General features: G+C 43.0%; 1 long non-coding RNA gene across 1 annotated transcript, besides 1 other annotated feature; it reads right to left on the reverse strand.

Moving 5' to 3' along the window:
• Window positions 1209-1933: an enhancer, noted in NCBI's record as "OCT4-NANOG hESC enhancer chr1:148548587-148549311 (GRCh37/hg19 assembly coordinates)". NCBI's record gives its function as "activates a minimal SCP1, AML or CMV promoter by ChIP-STARR-seq in naive and primed H9 embryonic stem cells {active_cell/tissue: H9 hESC(naive and primed)}" and the evidence as "EXISTENCE:reporter gene assay evidence [ECO:0000049][PMID:30033119]".
• LOC105371211 (uncharacterized) lies at window positions 5055-18631 on the reverse strand. The gene is made up of 6 exons (XR_007066572.1): window positions 18554-18631; window positions 16020-16129; window positions 15715-15875; window positions 14836-14892; window positions 7399-7635; window positions 5055-5437 (listed from the first exon to the last, which is right to left on the reverse strand). It is a non-coding gene; the product is annotated as an uncharacterized LOC105371211 (long non-coding RNA).
• Between the last annotated feature and the right edge of the window lie 2552 nt (window positions 18632-21183).

Below are 21183 nucleotides of genomic sequence, written 5' to 3' on the forward strand. Positions count from 1 at the left end.
AGCAGTTCTGCCTTAAAAGAAAGGCTAAAGGGAGTTCTCCAGACAGAAAGGAAATGATTAAAGAAGGAAACTTGGGATGTCAGAAAGAAAATTTTAAAAAACAGTGAGCAAAATAGGCCTTCTTTCTCCTCTTGTGTTTTCTAAACTATGCTTGACGGTTTCAGAAAAAAAATCATAGAACCATTCGATGTGGTTCTAACTCTACATACAGAAAATGTTGGAAACAATTATAAACTGGAAGGGTAAAGAGACCTATATAGAAGGTTGCTCGTCTATCGTTCACTCAACTGGTGAAACAATGACACCAGTATACCATGTGGTCAGATATAGATGCACAGACATATAAATATATATATATATATACCTGGAAAAACCAAGAGGGCTATACAAACGCATATACTAAAAAATACTATGGATAAGGCAAAACACCATTCTCAAAGATGTTCAAGTCACCACAGCAGGTAAGAAAAATAAAGCATATCCAGAAAATGAAACCAGAGAGAACAAACAGAAAAGGAAAAATAAAATGGCAGACTTAAGCCCTACCATATCAATCATCACATTAAATATCAATGGGCTAAGTACACCAATTACAAGACAGAGATTGGCAGAGTAGGTTAATGGACATGACCCAACTACATCCTGGCTACAAAGAGACTACCTTCAAATATGATGATACAGGCAAGTTGAAATCAAAAGGATGGAAAAAGATATATCATGCAAACATTAGCTAAAGGAAAGGAAGACTGGCTATATTAATGCCAGATATAGTATATTTCAGAACAAAGAAACTAATCAGAGAGAGAAAGGGACGTTATAAAATGATGAAAGGACCAATCCACCAAACCCTCCCCTGACAAAAGTCATAAATATCTATGCAACAACAACTTTAAATACTGAACAGATAGCTAGACTAATCCACAAATATAGCTGTACGCTTCCATGTCCCCCCTGTCTCTTGTAGGACATTGAGCCAGACAGCTGACCTGTCCTCTACAAACAAGTCCATGTCCCTACCATCAATGACAACAACAAAAAGATGAGGAGATACTTTGGGTTCAAAATAACTAAAGAAATATAGCTACATTATCTTTTTAGTTTTTTTGAACCCAAAATGTCTTTTCTCCTTTTTATTGTGTGATTCGTGGTGACATGGACTGTCTGAAGGAGACAGGTTATTGTCCTGCTCAGTATTCTGCATTCTGCAGTTGTCTATCTGGTGATTACCTCCTATGAAACTCAAGCTAAGCATTTTTAGCAAGAACATGGCATTGTTCATATTCTGCACTGGCAGAGTCCCAAGTGACATGCTGTCTCCTGCCAGCAGCTCCTGACTCCTGTTCTCTACAGGATGGAAGCTGAGAGGAGTAGGGCTAAAGCCTCTCAATGCTGTTTGTCCATCTGGCTTTGGTCTTCCTAAGTATTGGTATCAAGTGGAGGCTGAAGGACTGTGGCTTCTCTAACCAAAGGAGCCTAGTGGGTTAACAATTGTCAAGAGCAGTCAGTGGTTCTGAAATACAATCCTCAGCCATGGATCCCTCCTGTGTTGTGTTGAGCTTTCAATTGCTTTGCTCTTTTAGTTCTATTCATCAAATGAAAATGCTTTTGTGACATCCGTTCTTTCTTTTCATTGTTCCAGCAGCATTTAGTATCTGTAGGAGAGAGAGAAGGAAAGATCAAATGGGCATCTTTGTCAGGTCCTGCTGATGGCTGAGTCTAGAGGGACTGTTAAGTGGTGATAGCCCAGGGGCAAACTGAGCTCCTGCTAGGAGGATGAGCTGAAGGGTGAGCCTCAGGCTGAGTGAAGAGGCAAGTGCCATCCGCAAGTGAAAAATAAACACCCCTGAACTTCCAGTCAGCTTGAGGTGAAGGATATAGGGACCCTAGCTCTGCCCAACCAGCAGCCCCTTTCCTCCTGATCCCCAGTGTCTGGAGCAGAGTAATGGCTTTTCACACCCCTCAGTGAGGATGTTCTCAGCATCAACCATGAAAGCTCAGAAACAGAGGGCTGCAGAAGGAAAGGACCTTTTGCAGAGAAACCCACTCCCTTACAACTCCATGTCCCCGTCTCTTAGGGAAGGGTGCGCAGGGCCATGGGAAGAACCCTGGAGGTGAGATACAGGAAGGACCTCAGACCGCATCCACATCCAGTTCTGCCTTTTACAACAGAGGAGCAGTGATGCCACAGGGCTGACTTAACTAAAGCCACATGACTTGCAATGGACAACCCTGAAACTAGAACCCACGCACGAAGTCTCTTTCAATAAGTTAGAGAGAAGGGAGAGTCAATTCTCCAATCTGGAGTTCTCGACAGTCACTAGAGGTTGCTGGGTCACCTTGGCTAGGATAGGAATGAGCTTTTACAAAGAAATATGATGTCACTGCTGCTTGTTTTGTTGGTTAAAATAAAAAATGAGAAAAAGACAAAAGAAATATTATGTGTTCTTCCAAAAAGGATCAGAAGAAAAGGAAAGAGTCAAATGGAATTACAAAGGAAGGGTGGTGATTGTAACCATGGCCCAACTTATTATCCCTAATTCCCTGAAGTTGATTCCACACCTGGTTACACCTTAAGGCATTTCTAGAAACATGCTCAATATCTGATCAACAAAACTCTGAAGTAGAAAGTGAAAAGGATTAGTTTGTGTTTTATTACATTCTCCTCTCCCTGTTACATTTTTCCCAGAGTGGTTTGTTGGGAAAGATTTCTTTTTAGAATTTCTTGCCAGCATCAAGGGTAGCATAAAAAAGTATTCATATATCATCTCTTCCTGAGTTTCAGTTTTTTTATTATTATTATTTCTTATTTATTTATTTTTTTTTTGAGATGGAGTCTCACTCTGTCACCCAGGCTGGAGTGTAGTGGTGTGATCTCAGCTCACTGCAACCTCCGTCTTCCGGGTTCAAGTGATTCTCCTGCCTCAGCCTCCCGAGTAGCTGGGATTATAGGCATGTGCCATCATGCATGGCTAATTTTTGTATTTTTAGTAGAGACAGGGTTTTGCCATGTTGGTCAGGCTGGTCTCGAACTCCTGACCTCAGGTGATCCACCCTCCTCAGCCTCCCAAAGTGTTGGAATTAGAAGCATGAGCCACCATGCCCGGCCAAGTTTCAGTTTTTACTTATTATTATATTCTGTCTAGTGGAGTGAGACCTACGAGTTCTCTCTGAGGACTTGGCTGAATGACAAGAATTGAGCAAAGCAGAATTTTTACATTGCAGTGCCGAACCCATTCATGGGCTGTGGAATCAGTGTGTGGAAATGTAAACTGCAGGATTTATTTTAAAATTGAAAAGAAGGCTGGGCATGATGGCTCATGCCTAAATACCAGCTCTTTGGGAGGCAGAGGTGGATGGATCACTTGAGGCCAGAAGTTCGAGACCAGCCTTGCCAACATGGTGAAACCATGCCTCTACTAGAAAATACAAAACTTAGCCAAGTGTGGTGGCAGGCACCTGTAATCCCAGCTACCCAGAAGGCTGAGGCATGAGAATTGTTGAAGCCGCAAGACAGAAGTTGCAGTGAGCCGAGACTGCGCCACTGCATTCCAGCCTGGGTGACAGAGAGAGACTCTGTCTTAAAAATAAAATAAAATAAAATAAAATTTAAAAGAAAATACTAAATCTGAATATGAGTAATATACGAGGTATTGTTTTCTGTATACTGGGTTTCAATACAATGACTATTTCTTATTTTACTTGTACTCAAAATTAAGCAAGTGTGCTTTAAGTAGAGAGACTACAGGTCTAATCCATCTATTTTCTTGTTTTTCTTTTTAATTTTTTTCTACGTTCTACAAATACTACTGTTGAGAGGTGAATACAGATCCCATCAATGTCTGATGGATATTCCGCCTTTTGTGTGGAGTAGCCACACAAGTGGTCATCTCCATGTTGAAAACCTGAGGTCAGAGTAGACCAGTGGTCCTTGTCATCTTCAGTTGTATATTAGAATATCATGGAAGTTTTTTAAAGGTACTGATGCTCACATCACACCCCAGACCATTTAAGTGAGAATCTCAAGATGTCAGTTCAAGGCATTCATCTTTATTGAAATCTCACCAGGTGCTTATTACATGGTAGCAGGATTTAGAGACAATGAATGAACCAACCTGATTTCTCATCATTTTCTTTCCTATCCCCTCATTTCTCTCGTGATTGCCTTCATTCTCTGTGGCTCTGTGGATTTTAGTCTTTCTTCTGACTATTTCAATTAAATCTCTCACTTGGGCTGGTCTGAGGCAAAGTCTGTCCTGTAGATAGGTTCTTGTCTATCATCTTGTGTAGACATAAAGCTGGCCCCTGAACTCACTTTTCTCAAAGTTAATTCATTAAATGCTCTCTTATTTCTCTGTCCTCAAGATTCACCTGAGTTGTGTTTTAGACTCTAACTGAGCTTGTAGAAGTAAATACGTGAATAAAAAGGACAGAGGTGAGAATGCACTTTGTGGTCTACGCAGGTTCAAAGTCCTGCCCTGCCCTCTGCATCTATCTTTGGCTGAGGTCCCTTTGGAATGTCATAAATGTTCTCCAGTTAATGTCAGCTAAGTGACTCCATGAAGAGCAGACACAGTCCCTGGAAACTTCATCCACGCTGGCATAAGGTTGCCCATCTAGAGATGAAGACACACCTGACTCCAGGCTAGTAGGGAACTCTCGTCTGTGACCCAGGTTCTAATTTAGTTTTTGATTTGGAGTTCTTAGTGCTCAGTTTTAACACTTCTCATTCCCATGTACAAGGTGAGGGTTACAGTTTGACTTAGTTGTGTTGCTCAAAAGCTGTCCCAAGAGAAAAATCTGTGTGTAAATGACGTATTAAAGCAATGCTCCTGGCAGAAAGGGGCAATGGAGTTTGGGATGCAGAAAGGAAAGGCAAATTACTCAAGCCGTGCAATTCCAGGCAAAGAACCCTGTGTTTAGCAGCTCACACCATGCACTTGGAGGGGGACAAGGAAGTTGGGCTCTCCTGCGGCCATGAGAGGGACTCTTAGGACAACAGCAGTGGGAACAGAGCAGAGTTCAGAGAGCAGAGTTCAGGGGATGGGGATCAGAAGGACCTGGCAGCATGGCAGCCCATGGGACACAGAGGTAATACCAGACAGAGGTGACAGCAGCTGCTGGAGAGAACAAATACAGAAGAAAAAAGCAGTGGGAGAAGGAGCTGTCATCATAGACAGAGAGGAATAAGGAGTGAGTGCAGCTAAGAGCCATAGATGTGATTATCTTCCTGCTCTAAGCTTGCAGGCCAGGGAATCTGCATGCCAGTCTCCACTTGCTGAACAGCAGTTTTCTTTTGATCATCTTCGGTTTTAGGACACTTGAGGCATGAATGTGGCCAATGACTTGATGCCCATGTATGTTGTCAGCTGAGCCTTCAATAGCATCACCTTCCAGCTGGGGAGGGTTCTTCATTCAAGGGAAGGCTCTAAACCCAGCTCTGAAAATGAAACCACACCCAACAGTGTTCACTGTCATCCATGATCTTACTGTGACTTTCTCTTCCACCCAAGAGGATCATCAGAGAAGGAAAGTGGTCTTGAATGAGAAAGTCCAACGGGTAAAGGGAAGCCAGGAAAGACATTTTGGTATTTTCTGTATTGTTGATTTTTCATGCATCACCCAGTAATGACAAGATTGCCAGGAGGAAAAGGTGATCCCAACTGACAAACATATTCAAAAAATTTAGGATTAATAAACACAAATAGTTTCCAGGTAGATAAGGCAAAGGCAAGGAAGTCAGACTGGATACAGGCTGTGTTTTGGGAGGGAGGAGATTCTAAAACTCAACATTAAATGAACATATGAGAGAAAAGAATTGGATAGACTAAACATGAGATATTGATGAAATGAGCATGCAGATATGTATGTAGCATATATCTACATTTTATTAAAAATACATGCCAAATATGCATAATATATATATCCAATGACATAAATGCATATATTTATATATATAAATCTATTGGAAGAAATTGTTACATAAGGATGTGGAAGATGTTGAATTAGCGTTATAATCACTAACATTATAATCTGGTCCACTGAAACTGGAAAAAATTTTAGAAAAATAAGATGAACGAGAGAGAGAAGACATGGTGAGAAACAAATGCCCTATTAGACAGCAAGGAGAAGTCACCAGGTAAAGGACAATGAAACAAAAGGCATTCACTCTGTCCTCTTGCCTGGAACCTGGTTAGTGATCCGGACTCCTGGGAAAGCCAGCAGGTAAGAGTGTTGGAGCCAGCGGGGTGAGTCCTGACTAGGGGTGCAGGAATCCATGGAGAAGCAAAAGAGACACCAGTGGGAAGAAATCAGTTTAAATACTCAAAGTTATCAGGGCACGTGTCAGGGACTACGCATCCCCCGACACTCACTGAGCGTTTTCCATGTGTCCTCTCCATGGACCCAGATGGTGCTCGTTATCTCACGTGACCCTCCCTCCTCCTGAGGACGTGGGTCTCCTTATTCCTCGGCTGGGGGCATCGATTGACAGATGAGCACCAGGCAGCCCCAGGGGCTCCAGGAGTAGATATTGAGTGGGACGGAGAGTAAGGATGAACACAACCCAGGGTTTTAAGGAAATCTGGGCAGAAGTGGATCCCTGTGAGAAGAAAACTGAGGACATGGCCGTGGGCATGAATGGAGATGATGAACTAAATGGAGTTTCATAAAAGAGACAGATTTATACCCTTTCCATGAGAAGGTTGCCCTTTCATTCTTTTATTTCAAAACGAGGGGAGAAAACAGAGCAAGAAGCTGGGTATGTCAGGAGACTGACTTGTGGGCCCAGGATTTGCACTTTTACTAATGTGCCTAATAGGTTGTTACTGAAGTGCATGACCGGGGGAAATTGACTTAAAAAGGGATGCTGAGGAAGAGAAAGAAAACTGGCAAAAGATACTTTCTAAGTAAACACAGGAAGGGAGTCTCTAGAAAGTAGAGATCCTAACAGTTACTCTTCCTCAGTTGAAACAATGCACGTGAAGTCATTTCCTGAGTGCTAACTTACCAGAAAGATAACAGAATTAGATAACATCTATTCATAGATTTATTAAGCAATTTTTACTGAATTAGCCCTTTGGAAATTATCATAATTAATGTTATCAACAATGATGGAATGTAGATATTATTTTTCAGGTCTCTCAGATGACAGGACTGAGATGTAAATGCCAACACCACAAATAACTTGGCCGAGATGAATAATGAGTAAGGGTTAAGCCCAGGACCTGAGAGCAGATTTGATCCTAAACCCCAGGCTCTTGCTCACCTCACTGGGTTGGAACATTGTGGATTTCTGCTTGACTCTGAGGGAGCACGAAGAGACCCCATTGCCTCCTCCCCTCACAGCACCATGACCAGGACACCCGGATGAGAGCTTCCTGGTCCCCTTTCCTTCCCTACCTTGGAAGGGCCATTGGTTCCCAGGATCACCGTTGGTTGTGAAGCTGCAGGTGGTGGAGGAAACATCCTGCCTGGCTAAGCCATAGCCACAGTCAAACCCTTGATCCAGTTGCAGTCACAGACAATTGGGCACCAGGGTTCTTGGCTCCAGCTGTGCCTGTGAAGTCTCCACCTCTGACAGTTGGTGGCTCAAGTCTCCACTCCAAGGCCCGTGAGGACAGGCCACCTGGGTGGGAGCTGAAAGGAGAAGGGGCTTCAGTAGGAACGCTCTCAGTTTTCCCTTTGTTAATCATGCCCAGAACACCCATCTCTGACATCTCCGCCTCTGAGGTAAGCCACCCAGTGGCCCAGGCCACAAAGACAGACATCATGTAAATGGGGTGATGTCACCTTCCTGTCTGTGCCTGGGGATGCTGAGATGGAAGGTACCCAGGCTGGATGACCCTGAAGTGAAAAACCCCCACTTCAGCCCAGAGGGCTTTGGATTGGCTAACAAGGCCATGCCAAATATTCTGTTATTATTAATCTCCATCCTGCAGCCTAGAAAGAATGTTCTGGAGAACCTTCAGAGCATAGGAAATGCTATTTTTCTCAACACACAGGAGTATAAGAACAGGGGAGGACTTAGAGCCTCCAGGCTTTGGGAAGGAACCATAGAAAAGGGTTTTGGGACACTGTAGACCAGCAGTCTCCAAACTTTTTTGCCTCGGGGACTGGTTTCGTGGAAGACAATTTTTCCTTGGACCAGGGGTGGGGGACGTGAAAAGAGGGAAGGATCATTTCGGAATGAAACTGTTCCACCTCAGATCATCAGGCATTAATTAGATTCTCGTAAGGAGCGCGCAACCTAGATCCCGTTCATGCGCAGTTCACAATAGGGTTTGTGCTTCTATGAGAATCTAATGCCACCGCTGATCTGACAGGAGGCGGGGCTCAGGCTGGAATGCTCGCTTGCGGGCCACTCATATCCTGCTGTGCGGCCTGGTGCCTAACAGGCCCAGGACAGGTAGCTGACCACAGCCCCGGGGGCTTGGGGCCCCCTGCAAGAAACCAAATACTACATGAGGCGAACTTTTAAGAGTTCTGAAACATTTTGAATTTCCGTTGCCTATAATGGTTTTACCACCAACCCACACATATACATCTTGTTGCCACATAGTGGGTTTCCGCAGCCATACGCAATGTTGTAAAGGGACCAGTCCCTTCACGGACACTTAGGGGCCACAGGTATTACAGATCAGTATGTGTGGTTCTGTAGGGAGGCAACACCGAGCACAATCCTCATCTTACCCACTCCTCCAGTGGGGTCCGGGCAGCACCCCCTCATAAAAATTATTGCTGTTTCCACAGGAAGAGGAAATCACATTCTCAGAAAGTGGACAAAATGCATTATGATTTGCAGTGGTTTTCGTTTTCTTTTTTTTCTTTCTTTTTTTTTTTTTCCCCCGAGACAGACTCTCGCTCCGTCTCCCAGGCTGGAGTGCAGTGGCGCCATCTCGGCTCACTGCAAGGCGATTCTCCTGCCTCAGCCTCCCAAGTAGCTGGGATTACACGGACGCACCGCCACCCCCGGTTAATTTTTGTATTTTTTTAGTAGAAACAGGGTTTTACTATGTTGATCAGGGTGGTCTCCAACTCCTGACCTCAGGTAATCTGCCCACCTTGGACTCCCGAAGTGCTGGGATTACAAGCGTGAGCCACCGCGCCCGGTTCTTTTTTGAATGTTTGGAAGAGTTGAGCTGTGTGGCCATTTGGTCCTGAGCTTCTCTTTGTTGGGAGGTTCTTCAGTCCTTTTATTTGTTATTGGTCGTTCAGGCTTTCGGTTTCTTCTTGATTCAATCCTGGTAGGTTGTGTGTTTCTAAGAATTTATCCATTTACTCTAGGTTATCCAATTTGTTGGTATAGAGCTGTTAATAACAGTTTCTTTTTTCTTTTTTTTTTTTTTTTGAGACGGAGTCTCGCTCTGTCGCCCAGGCTGGAGTGCAGTGGCAGGATCTTGGCTCACTGCAAGCTCCGCCTCCCGGGTTCCTGTCATTCTCCTGCCTCAGCCTCCCGAGTAGCTGGGACTACACGCTACTGGGTAGCTAGCTGGGTAGCAGGCACCCGCCACCACGCCCGGCTAATTTTTTTATATTTTTAGTAGAGACGGGGTTTCACCGTGTTAGCCAGGATGGTCTCGATCTCGTGAACTCGTGATCCGCCCGCCTTGGCCTCCCAAAGTGCTGGGATTGCAGGCGTAGGAGCCACCGCGCCCGGCCTAATAATAGTTTCTTATGATCCTTTTTACTTGTGAGGCTTCTGTTGTAATGCCTCCACTTTCATTTCGCATGTTATTTATTTGAGTCTTCTCTATTTTTTTCTTAGTTAGTTTAGCCAAGTGTTTGTTAATTTTACTTTTTCCAGAAAAACAACTCGGGTGCGAGAGGCCTACGTTGCATCACCACTGGAGGCCAGTAGTTCCCAATCAGCCTGGAAAGAATAGTAAGACGTTGTCTCTCCTAAAAAGAGAAAAAGAAAGAGAAAGGAAAAGGAAAACAAAACAAAACAAAACAAAACAAAAAACCAACAACTCACTTTTATTATTTTTCTGTAGTATTTCTGTTCTTCAGTTGATTTACTTCTGCATTGATTTTTGTTTCCTTTTTTCAGTGAACTTTGGATTTATTTTGTTGTTTTTTTCCTGGTTTCTTGAGGTGTAATGTTTATTTGAAGTCTTTCTTCTTTTTTAATGTATGCATTTATGGTTATAAACTTGACTCTTAAGAGCTGTTTTTGCTGTTTCCAAAGATTTTGTTATGTTTGTTTTCACTTTTGTTGGCCTCAATATATTTTCAAATTTCCCTTTTGATTTGTTCTTTGATCAATCAGTTGTTCAAAGGCAAGTTGTTTAATTTCCATGTATTTTTTAATTTTCCAGTTTTCCTTATGTAGTTAATTTTTAGTTTCATACCATTGTGGTCAGAAAAGGTACTCGATGGGATTGGAATCATTGTTAATTTGTCTAAGATGTACTCTTCATTATTTTAATTGATGTATAATTGTTGCACACATTTTGGGGATACACATGATATTTTGATAAACATATACAATTTATAATGATCGAATCAGTGTAAGTAGTATATCTGTCACCTCAAAACTTTATCTTTTCTTTATGTTAGGAATATCCCAATTCCTCTCTTCTAGTTATTTTAAAATATACAAGAAGTTATTTTGAGTTATAGTCTCCCTAATATACTATCAAATACTAGAACTTATTCCTTCTATTTAACTATATTTTATATGCATTAACCAATATCTTTTCTTCCTTCTCCCCTATCTCCTTCCCAGCCTCTTGTAACCACTAATTTTAATATATGATATGACACATGAATTCAGTTTTTTCTACTTGTTTATTTTTATATGGTTACAAATATGTCACATCCATTGCTTAAAAAGAAAATCTTCAATCGTTTGTTGAAATATTATGCATTTTTAAATACATTGCTTTTTCAAGATTGTCAAAAATCTGTTCTCAATATATGTGTTCATTTATATTTGGACTCTATTTTCTTTTGATCCATTTAATTGATCACATACCAAAGCTCTGTTGTGGCCATTACAACTCTGTGATTGTTCTTTAAATCAGGTGGAGCTAGCCCTCCAATTTTGCACTTCGTTATACAGGCATTTTGGTTATGCTAGTTCATGTTAATTTTAGAATCAGCTGCCATTTTCTACCAACGATGCATGCTGAAATTTTGAGTCGGATTGCATTGAATTCATAGATCAAATTAGGGGAAATGAACATCTCAACAATATTCTTACACATGAGCAAACAATATCTTTCCAGTTATTAGGCCTGCACTATGTTCTCTGTGAAATATGCTCTAATTTTCAGTCATATTCACATTTATGGATTTTATACACTTGACATTATTGTAAATGGTATTCCTTTTACATTTAAATTCTGCTGTGCAATTGCATAAACACAATTTATTTTTGCATATTGATCTTATATCCTGCTAGAAACAAATGCTTTTTGGATTCAGGTTTGATTGGCCAGTGGCAATATCTTTGGAAACTTGCGTATTTACCAGGCATGAAGAATCTTTCTCATTTCAATTGGAGCTTTATCACCAGCCCAAGGGAGAGGAATGTCCTAACGCATATCAAGTTCTGAGGTTGGGAAGAGTTTGTCCTTTGTAGACAAATGCATGTGAAATGTTCTGTATGTTCACCAATAAGTTTTCCTTAAGATTACTCATGCAGTTATAAGGCTGCCCATCTGCACTTGTGTTTAGCTGCAATACTATAGTTGTAAAATTTAGAAGCCAATGTTCTCCCTTAGTTTAAAATTTAATATTCAAGAATCTATTCCAACATTATGTAGTGCCAAAAACTTGGGGATGATATGCAATGATATGTCCAGCAAGTATGAGTTTGTACCTGATCCTTATTAGTCTTCCTTCTGATGTGATCTATTATAAAATGAGACCTTTAAGAGCTTTAAAATAATTAATAATGGCATGCTGAGGAGGTTAGTTTGTGGGATATTCAGTAGCCGTAGGAAACAGTAGTTCCTACTCTGTATCTCAAGTGGGAGTCCACTCTTCAGTATGTCAGCTTCAAGACCCTGATCTGCAGTGGAATTTGCAGCCCCCTGCTGTGTCAGCTTCATTACTTCAAGGGAGGGTGAATGCCTTCAGTTCTTTAGGTCACAATTGACACATGTAGCACATTTTGGTACCTCTTCAGTTACTGACCTTTATGCCCACTCATGTCAGGCTTGCTCACCTGAGTGATTCACAAGATCACATTCCCAATGCATCAGATCACAGTGTCACAAAAAAAAAAGCATTTATTTTTCGTTATGAATCTCTCCTGAATTTCAACCTTGATAGGCTAACATGGCTCACAAACAGCTTTAAATTTGGTTTCTCAAATGTCTGTCTAATGGTTTACAAAAGTCCAGTTACTCAAATGTATTTATCTTACAGTCCGGTTTTCTATTGTTCCATGCTGTGCCTCAGTGACATAAACCAAGAGTCAGTATATAAAAAAGATTTATTCCCACTGGTTTATAACCAACCAATAACTAGTATGCCTGTTATATATAGTTCTGTGCATTGGGTTGCCAGTCTCCTTCCTTCTTTTGCCTGATTTTTGTTGGAAGTGGAGATGATGTAATGTTATGGGTCACTTCTATTAGTGTCCCTGGACTACAGTTCTACCATCTATTTTTTAAGCTATTTTACCTCGTTATTATAAGATCTGCATATTTGTGAGCATCATTTATGTTATTAATAGTTAACATCTGGGGGGGTGGGGGAGGGATAGCATTAGGAAATATACCTAATGTTAAATGATGAGTTAATGGGTGCAGCACACCAACATGGCACAGGTATACATATGTAACAAACCTGCACGTTGTGCACATGTACCCTAATACTTAAAGTATAATAATAAAAAAAAAAAGTTAACATCTATGGTAGTCACTTCTTTGGTTATGTCAGAGACTAAAATCTGAAAATCAGAAATTCATTCTTTATTTCAGGTGTGTGCATGCTGTTGTGTTGATCCCTCTCCCCTCCCAGAAAAGTCATTGTAGGCCCAAGTCGATGAAGGGACAGACTGTGAAAGAACAGATGCAGAGCATGGACTAAGTATGCAGTGCCCACTGAATCAAAAACTTTGCTGAAGTTGCTTTTCTGCGATTGTCTAACATTCCTCTGAGTCACCTTATCTGCTGCTTAAAAGCCCCAAAGCATTTCCTTAACTGTCTTGTGGCCATTGTTATAAACTCTGCTCTGCTCTTCCTGTGTCAACTACCACACAGTCTGTTTCATTGCATGGCCCTAAAGGCAGAGCCATTTTTCCAACTTTAAGTGCACTAAGGGTATCCTGTTTCTACAAAACCAGTGGATGTTAGTGGTTCTCTTAGGGATTTTTTTTTCTTTTTTTGTCATATAAGGCCATAATTGGAGTAATGTGAAAAATATTTTTTCCTCCAGAAGTTATTAGATGCTGCTATATCCAATATTTGTTCTATCAGTACACTATAATGTATCCCAGCTATGCATTTTATATTTCCTAAAACTTCACTTCTGAGAAGGCCCTTCATGTGTTTTTAAAAATTCATGGCCCACCCAGCAGCATTACTAAGTCTTTTGGAGTCTAGCCTCATGGTCTTTCTGTTGATTTTCCTGCTGTCAACATGTAATCTGTGAAATGAAACAAAGGGAGGGGATCCAGGCCAAGACTTGGCGACATTCACTTATGACAGTCAGTAGTCAGACACTATGTGCAGAGATCCTCCAGATTCTGTTTGACCAGCATCTTTGGGAGGTTAAGAGCCCAGCCCTGTCAGAACCACTATTCATTATCATCGACCCTTTCACCAGAATGCACCTGTGGGTGTCGGCTACTGATTTTCTCACCTGCAGGCAACTCAGGCTGAGCTGAGAGCAGAAATCTTAAGCTCTTGTCACTAAGGACTCTTCTGTGCTTCCTCTGTATCACCCGCCATAACTAGCATAATGCTTTACCCACAGGGGCTCAAGAGATGCATTTGTTGAGCTCAACAAATTGAGAATCCAAGTTGTCTTGATAAGCAGAGATGTTATGGTGTAGAGAATTGGATAGGGTAAGCAGAGGAACAAAACAGGTTGTCATTTTGTTGTTGTTGTTGTTGTTTCTAAGAGTACAAAAATTGTGACTGGCAACTGCTGGGGAATCCTAAGGCAGGACTTTAGTCCCTAACCCCCCTACATTCTCACTACATTCATGGAAGCTGCTTTACTCCTTTCCACCTTAGGTATTTCATCTATAATTAGAGGATAAAACACACAACTTCTAAATGCTAGTACTATGACTGATATAGAATTTATTTTGGACATGGGTGAATCTTGGAGTCTCCAAAGCATTTAAATTACCAGACAGAGGCTGGGAGTGGTGGCTCACGCCTGTAATCCCAGCACTTTGGGAGGCCGAGGTGGGTGGATCACCTGAAGTCAGGAGTTCGAAACCAGCCTGGCCGACGTGGTGAAAACCCGTCTCTACTAAAAATATAGGAAATTAGCCGGGCGTGGTGGCACACACCTGTAATCCCAGCTACTCAGGAGGCTGAGGCAGGAGAATCACTTGAACCCAGAGGCAGAGGTTGCAGTGAGCCGAGATCATGCCATTGAACTCCAGCCTGGGTAAAAAGAGCGAAACTCCGTCACAAAAAAACAAAACAACAACAACAAAAACAAAAACATATATATATATATATATATTACCAGACAGAAGATAGATAATCTGTGATTACTATGTCAAGGACAATTTTAGAATACTTGTTAAATTCACCCCTTTCTTTTCACAGCTGGCCAGGACATAGTCAGTAGCTACTGATACCTTGAATACCTTGGGTGTGTTAACTGTTTTGACCCATCATGGAGCCAAGATGTTGGTTGTACCTTGAGATGCTGATCTGGCTGAAGTCCAGGGTCACGGGCCCAGGATAGGTCATTCAGCTATTTGAAAAAAACAGAAGAGAGACCAGGCCATCCACTGAGGTCATCTCCATGCAGCATGGGCCACTGGTTCCAGTGAACCCACCATCACCATACTTCTCAGGAATCGCTGGTCACTAGACTGAGAGTTCTGTCAAAGCTGAGATCATATCTTGCTAATCTCTGTGTTCATGGTTCCCAGCTCAGGGTCTAGCACTAAGGGAGTTCTCAGGAGAGTGTTCATCAATTATTGAATAAAAGCGATTGCAAACCTCCTCTCACCTGCATTCCTGTCCCAAATATCCTGTCAGGGAGGCTGAGATTTCTCCCAGGATGCAGCAAATCCCTTTCCTTAGACTGGCCCTTGCCTTACACCATTCATGCCCCAGGATCCCTCTCTGTGGGACATTGGAGGAAAATGAGTCTGTTCTGAAGAAGTCCTCTTATGATTCCCCCTGTCATTAGGAGCAATGTCTTCACTTAAACTCCCACTCTATGGGTTGCCACAGCACCCCAATGTGGGGGAACTTTCATATTTTCTTAAAAAGCTATATTTCTGTTCTTTCTCTCATGGGCTTGAGTTCCTTTGGGGAGACATTAATATCTGAATCCCAAGTGTTTAACACAGCGTAAAGAAAATTAAACACCAATAAATATTTATGAGATATCATTTGGAAACCTCCTTCAACTGTAAGTACAGAAGAATATTATAAGTATCACTGCTTTGTATACTAGCAAGGGACACTTACTCTAGCACCTGACCTAGGGCAGAGCTTTTTAACATAAGAATGGATGTCTCCAACCCTTCTCCCAGCATGGTTATTCCCTCTAACCCACACTGACCTGAAGAGCATCCACTGCTACGGCAGCCCCAAGGTCAAGCCTCCTGGGTCTGGGGCGGGGCTCATGGTCACATCTTCCCCCTCTTGGAGTTGCTGCTGCCCCTCACTATAAACCAGATGTCATCCAGCCTGTGGCTCTCCCTGGCCAGGGGCAGGAGACTCCTGTGGAGTAAATTTCTCTCTCAGTCCCCACTGCTCAGCTCGCGCTGCTCCTTGAGAGTTTGGATGATGACAGGCATTGCCCATTTCCCCTGAGGCTTCTATCCCAACTTGTCCTTATTCCCCCCTTCTTTGGTTTTCATTTACCAATGGCTTGTCCTTTGTGAGTTGTTCTCATCCCCTAAACCTGCTGACTTTCTTTCTTTCATCTGTTCCCTCAGTTCTGGGCTTCCAGTGTGTGGACTCAGCTCAGGCTCCTGCAGGAGACACACAGAGTCAGGTCTCAGCTGCAGGTCCTGGGTGGCATTAAAAACCATCTCAGCAGAGTTTCACCATGTCTGCCAGGCTTGGCCGGTTGTGGTGGTTCACGCCTGTGATCCCTGCACTTTGGGAGGCCGATGCAGGTGGATCGCCTGAGATGGGGAGTTCGAGACCAGCCTGGCCAACATGGTGAGACCCCATCTCAACTGAAAATGCAAAGGATTGGCTGGGCGTGGTGGCGTGCACCTGTAGTCCCAGCTACTCGGGAGGCTGAGATAGGAGAGTTGCTTGAACCCGGGAGGTGGAGGTTGCGGTGGGCCGGGATTGTGCCACTGCACTCCAGCCTGGGCAATGAGAACAAAACTCTGTCTCCACCAAGGTGACATTTTCCACCCTGTGTCCTGTTCCCCAATAAAAACAAATTCACAAATTCACAAAAAACTAAACTAAACTAAAACTGTCTCAAAAAAAAAAAAAACCCCACCATGTTGGCCAGGCTGGCCTCCAACTCCTGTCCTCAAGGGATCCTGTAATCTCCCCATTTTGGGAGGCCGAGGCGGGCAGATCACTTGGGGCCAGAGGTTTGAGACCAGATTGGGCGACATGGCAAAGCCCCATCTCTACAAAACATATAAGAATCAGCCAGGCGTGGTGGCATGCACTGCCTGTGGTCCTGGCTACTTGGGAGGCTGAGGCTGGAGGATAGCTTGGGCCGGGAAGCTTGAGGTTGCAGTGAGCAGAGATCATACCATTGTACTCCAGCCTGGGTGACAGAGCGAGACTTTTTCTTTAAAAAAAAAAATAGAGGCTGGGCACAGTGGCTGACGCCTGTAATCCCAGCACTTTGGGAGGCCGAGGCGGGCGGATCACGAGGTCATGAGATCGAGACCATCCTGGCTAACATGGTGAAACCCCGTCTCCAATAAAAAATACAAAAAATTAGCCGGGCGAGGTGGCGGGCGCCTGTAGTCCCAGCTGCTCGGGAGGCTGAGGCAGGAGAATGGCGTGAACCCGGAAAGCGGAGCTTGCAGTGAGCTAAGATCGCGCCACTGCACTCCAGCCTGGGCGATGGAGTGAGACTCTGTCTCAAAAAAAAAAAAAAAAAAAAGAAAAAAGAAAAAAAAAAAAAGAATTGACTTGAAGGAGTCAGGCCGGAAGGCCAAATAGGAGATGAATGGGGATAGCGGCTGGAATAAGGGCAGTGGCAAGGAAAATGGGCTAGGGGTTAGGGAAGGGGGCCGACTGGCTGTGCACCCAAATGCTAAAAAGGGTCCAGAAAGGAATGTGTTCAGCTATTTTTCAAGGACTTCTAAATTAAACTCTCTTAAATGATGTTTATATTAAGGCTGGTGGTGGAGTCTTTCAGAGGCAGTGTTGGTGCTAGAAGAGCTCTTGAGGATCATACAGCCTCCCCCCTCAATTTCACAGTGAAAGAAAACCTCAGAGAAGCAAAGCAACTTGCTCAAGGTCACACAGCATTTCAGCGGTAGAACATGACTCGTGGTTCTTAGATAGCATTACCCAGCCTCCACTGAGGCTAATGGCTGTAGGCGCTATGCCAACATGACTAGATCTAAGGCGACCCAAGCAATATTTTAAGGGACTGAACGCAGATTCCCTCTCTTCCCCTTCGCCACCCCTTCCTCCACGCGCGACTCCAGTGATCAATGAATAATTGTGGAAACAGTTCCTTTGTGCAGAACACTTCGTTAAAAGAGGTGCAGAGATACACGTCTGCGGTAGGATTCCTTATCCTGAGATCTGAGAGCACCTCGATGCTTCCCCAACCTGCTAGGTGAGGGTGGAAAGGGCATTCCTGAGGCAGCCGGTGCCCCTCCTCTGCCCCCCAACTCCCACGTGGTTTCTCCAGCCAAGTTCTCACGGAGTGGCCCCTCCCTCAGCGGCTCCACTGTTGCCATAGCAATTGGGTGGGTGGACAGCCCGTCCTATCTAGAGGCCACCCAGCCCTCGCGTGGGGAGTTACCATAACAACCCCCTAGTAATAGAGGGGGTTGGGTACCGCCCCCTTCCCCAGCAAATGGAAAGGTGGGTGGCTTGATTGGCAGCTGGGCACACGAAAGAAGGAGGGAAAGGGAAGGAAAAAAATAAATAAATAAAAACCATCTCAGTTCCTCAGAGACTCAGAGAAAACACAGTAGGAAGCGACCTCAGAGAGGAACAATAAGCCCCTACCTCACTGAGGAGGAAAGTGAAGCCAAGAAAGACTAAGACTCTCCCAGGCTCCCTCACCACATGGTGGCAGCAGATCGACCACACAAGCCTTGGCCTCAGCCTCCAGGTCCAAAGCACCTAACTCACCCACCAGGAACTCACTGCTGCGTTTCAGAAAACTTTGGATCAAAAACAGCAATTTCCACTGTGAAAACAAATAAAGTAAAAGGGCTTTTCCTTGGACAAACCTTTTATCACGGTTCTGTAGTCCTAGTATTTATACTCAGTCAGTTGTCATTCGCTGGCTGGTAGATTCAGGCAGGGAGCAATTAAAGATTAAGTAATGCTTAACACAAGCCTGCTCTCCCAGCCTGGGATCTCAGCTCCTCCCTTCTTCAGGGAGTTTCCTCTGCTCTAACTGCTGGAGAGTCTCAGCCCTCATGTGGGTCATTTCTCCATGGTGATACCTATTATTTTCTTCCTCTCTTGGAGATAAGAGAGGGCAGAGATTGGTTCTGGGTCTCCACAATTCTAGGTTTTCTCCTAAACCAGCCAGGTCAGCTGAAAGCAATCATGACAGAGAGGTCAGGTCAGTGAAGAGGGTCCCAGGGGAGCAGGGGGTCACAAGGACAGCCCCTCATGGAGATGGTCAGGACCGTGACGTGGGCAACATTTGACCAATTCTGCTGGGGATGATGTGCCAAGGATTAAGGGGAGGATGCTGCCATAAGGAGAAAGGGGAAGAACCAAGGGAGTAGGAGAGGAAGGAAAATAAAATGATTGCCATAAAGATAGAAAGAAATGCAGACTCCAGAGGCAAAGCCCCATGTCACAGAAGGTTAGTTCCAGGTTGTGGATCCTAACCACGCAATTCCTGCTGGACTTTGCTCAGCCCCATTTCAAAAAGGTTTTGGATCAGTGACTTCTTTGTTACTTCCACTTTCCCCGTTTGTGAACAAGAATCACTAGAATTGTTTTTCTAGGAGGGGGGAGGGATAGCATTAGGAGATATACCTAATGCTAAATGATGAGTTAATGGGTGCAGCACACCAGCATGGCACATGTATACATATGTAGCTAACCTGCACATTGTGCACATGTACCCTAAAACTTAAAGTATAATAAAAAAATTTTTAAAAAAAAGAATCGTTTTTCTATGTCTGTCCCACCATTGCACACTGAGGGCAGATAAGCTGTTTGTTCAGTTTCACAGGTTGATAGAGGGAAGGGAATTATGTCAAGGACACCCTCAGAAGCCTCATTCATACTTGGTGTGGATGATTAAGATAAGATTTTAAATTTTTGATCTGGTGTGGTCTACATACCATTTTTCACTTTGAACTAACGCTTTAATGACATGAAATTTGGAAACCTTAGGGGAGAGGGTGAATGTATTTTGCAGATGGGGGAATGTGAGTGTCCAACTGCGGTAGATGGAATTTCTGAAATGGTCCCCAAACATGCCACACCCTTGTCTCTAAAGCCTGTTAAGGTGCTGAGACATCATTCTGGTGATTATGTTGTTATAAGCCAGTTATACGACTTTAAGATGGTGAGGTTACCTGTGTAAACTGGATCTAATCACATCACTGCATACATGCCAGTGGTTTCTCTAGCTGTCAGAAGAAGGTAACGTCAGGAAGAATGGGAGCTTGAGAAGGACTCCATGAGCTGTTATTGGGACAGCCAGCACAGAAAAAGAAAAACCAGTCTTTCAACTCCCACAAAATGAATTCCTCCTATACCTGAAGTGAAATTGGAGAAGTAGCCTGAGCTCCACGTAACTACATAGCCAGACACACCTGGATTCAGCTTCCTAAAACCCTTATCAGAGAACTCAGCCTCTGTTCCAGACTTCTGTGGTTTCAATCCACTAGTTTGTTGCATGTGTTAATAGGCAGCAATAGAAAACTGGTACAGATGCCTATCTCTACTCTTGATTTATTATTTCAGATACATGGAAGCTAATCCCTCTAAGAGAAAAAAATTAAAGAGCAAAGAACTACAGCAAAAATCTTGCACTCACGTTCACCTTTATGTCACTATTCTGGAGCCCTTGCAACCTGAAGAAGATAATGAGAGGCATTCCAAGCATGTGAGGAGTATCTCTAATGTTACCAACCAAATTTCTGAAAGAATAAAGATGGTACAATACTAACTCCACATAATCTTATGTGCAAATTCATCATCTATCTCTATTTCTTATAGCAGATTTTTTTCTTTTTTAGCTCATTCATTTAGGCTTGCCAGACCAGGTTTGGTAGCAACTATCAGTTATCGGTAAAAATGAAACAATTCACGAAGAGCAATGAACAGGACTATTAAGTTCATCAAAAAAGTCCCTAAAATGCAATATTTCCTCAAATGTCACAAAAGTAAGACAATGATTCACTACAAAAAATCCCAATCTAAGAAAATTTGAAATTTAATGATGTCGGATTTCCAAATTTTTATTTTGTTGGGGCCCAGTCATGGGCACCAGAGATTAGGAAATGACTGTGCAGAGGCTTTAGGGTATTTGGGGAAATGACAAAAATATTCTAAAACGTGACTCTGCTGATGGCTGCACAATTCTACAAACCTCCTTAAATGGTTACATCGTAGATTTAAAATTGGTGAGTTTTATTACAAGTAACTTTTTTTTTTTTTTGAGACAGAGTTTCACTCTGCATTTTCCTCTCACCTGCCCCACACCTCTTCCAAATCTGTTCTTTCACTTCCAGGTCGTTGAGTTTTTCCATTTAAAAATATAAAAGATACAGAAAGAAGAAGATAACCAGTCATCCATATTCCCATCACCTGGAATTAAGTACTATTCACATATGTACATATTTTTTCTTCCAAATCATTTTGAAGTTACTCTCTTTTTTTTTAATTA

The sequence above is a fragment of the Homo sapiens genome, chromosome 1, assembly GCF_000001405.40.
Source record: "Homo sapiens chromosome 1, GRCh38.p14 Primary Assembly".
NCBI classification, from domain to species: Eukaryota; Metazoa; Chordata; class Mammalia; order Primates; family Hominidae; genus Homo; species Homo sapiens.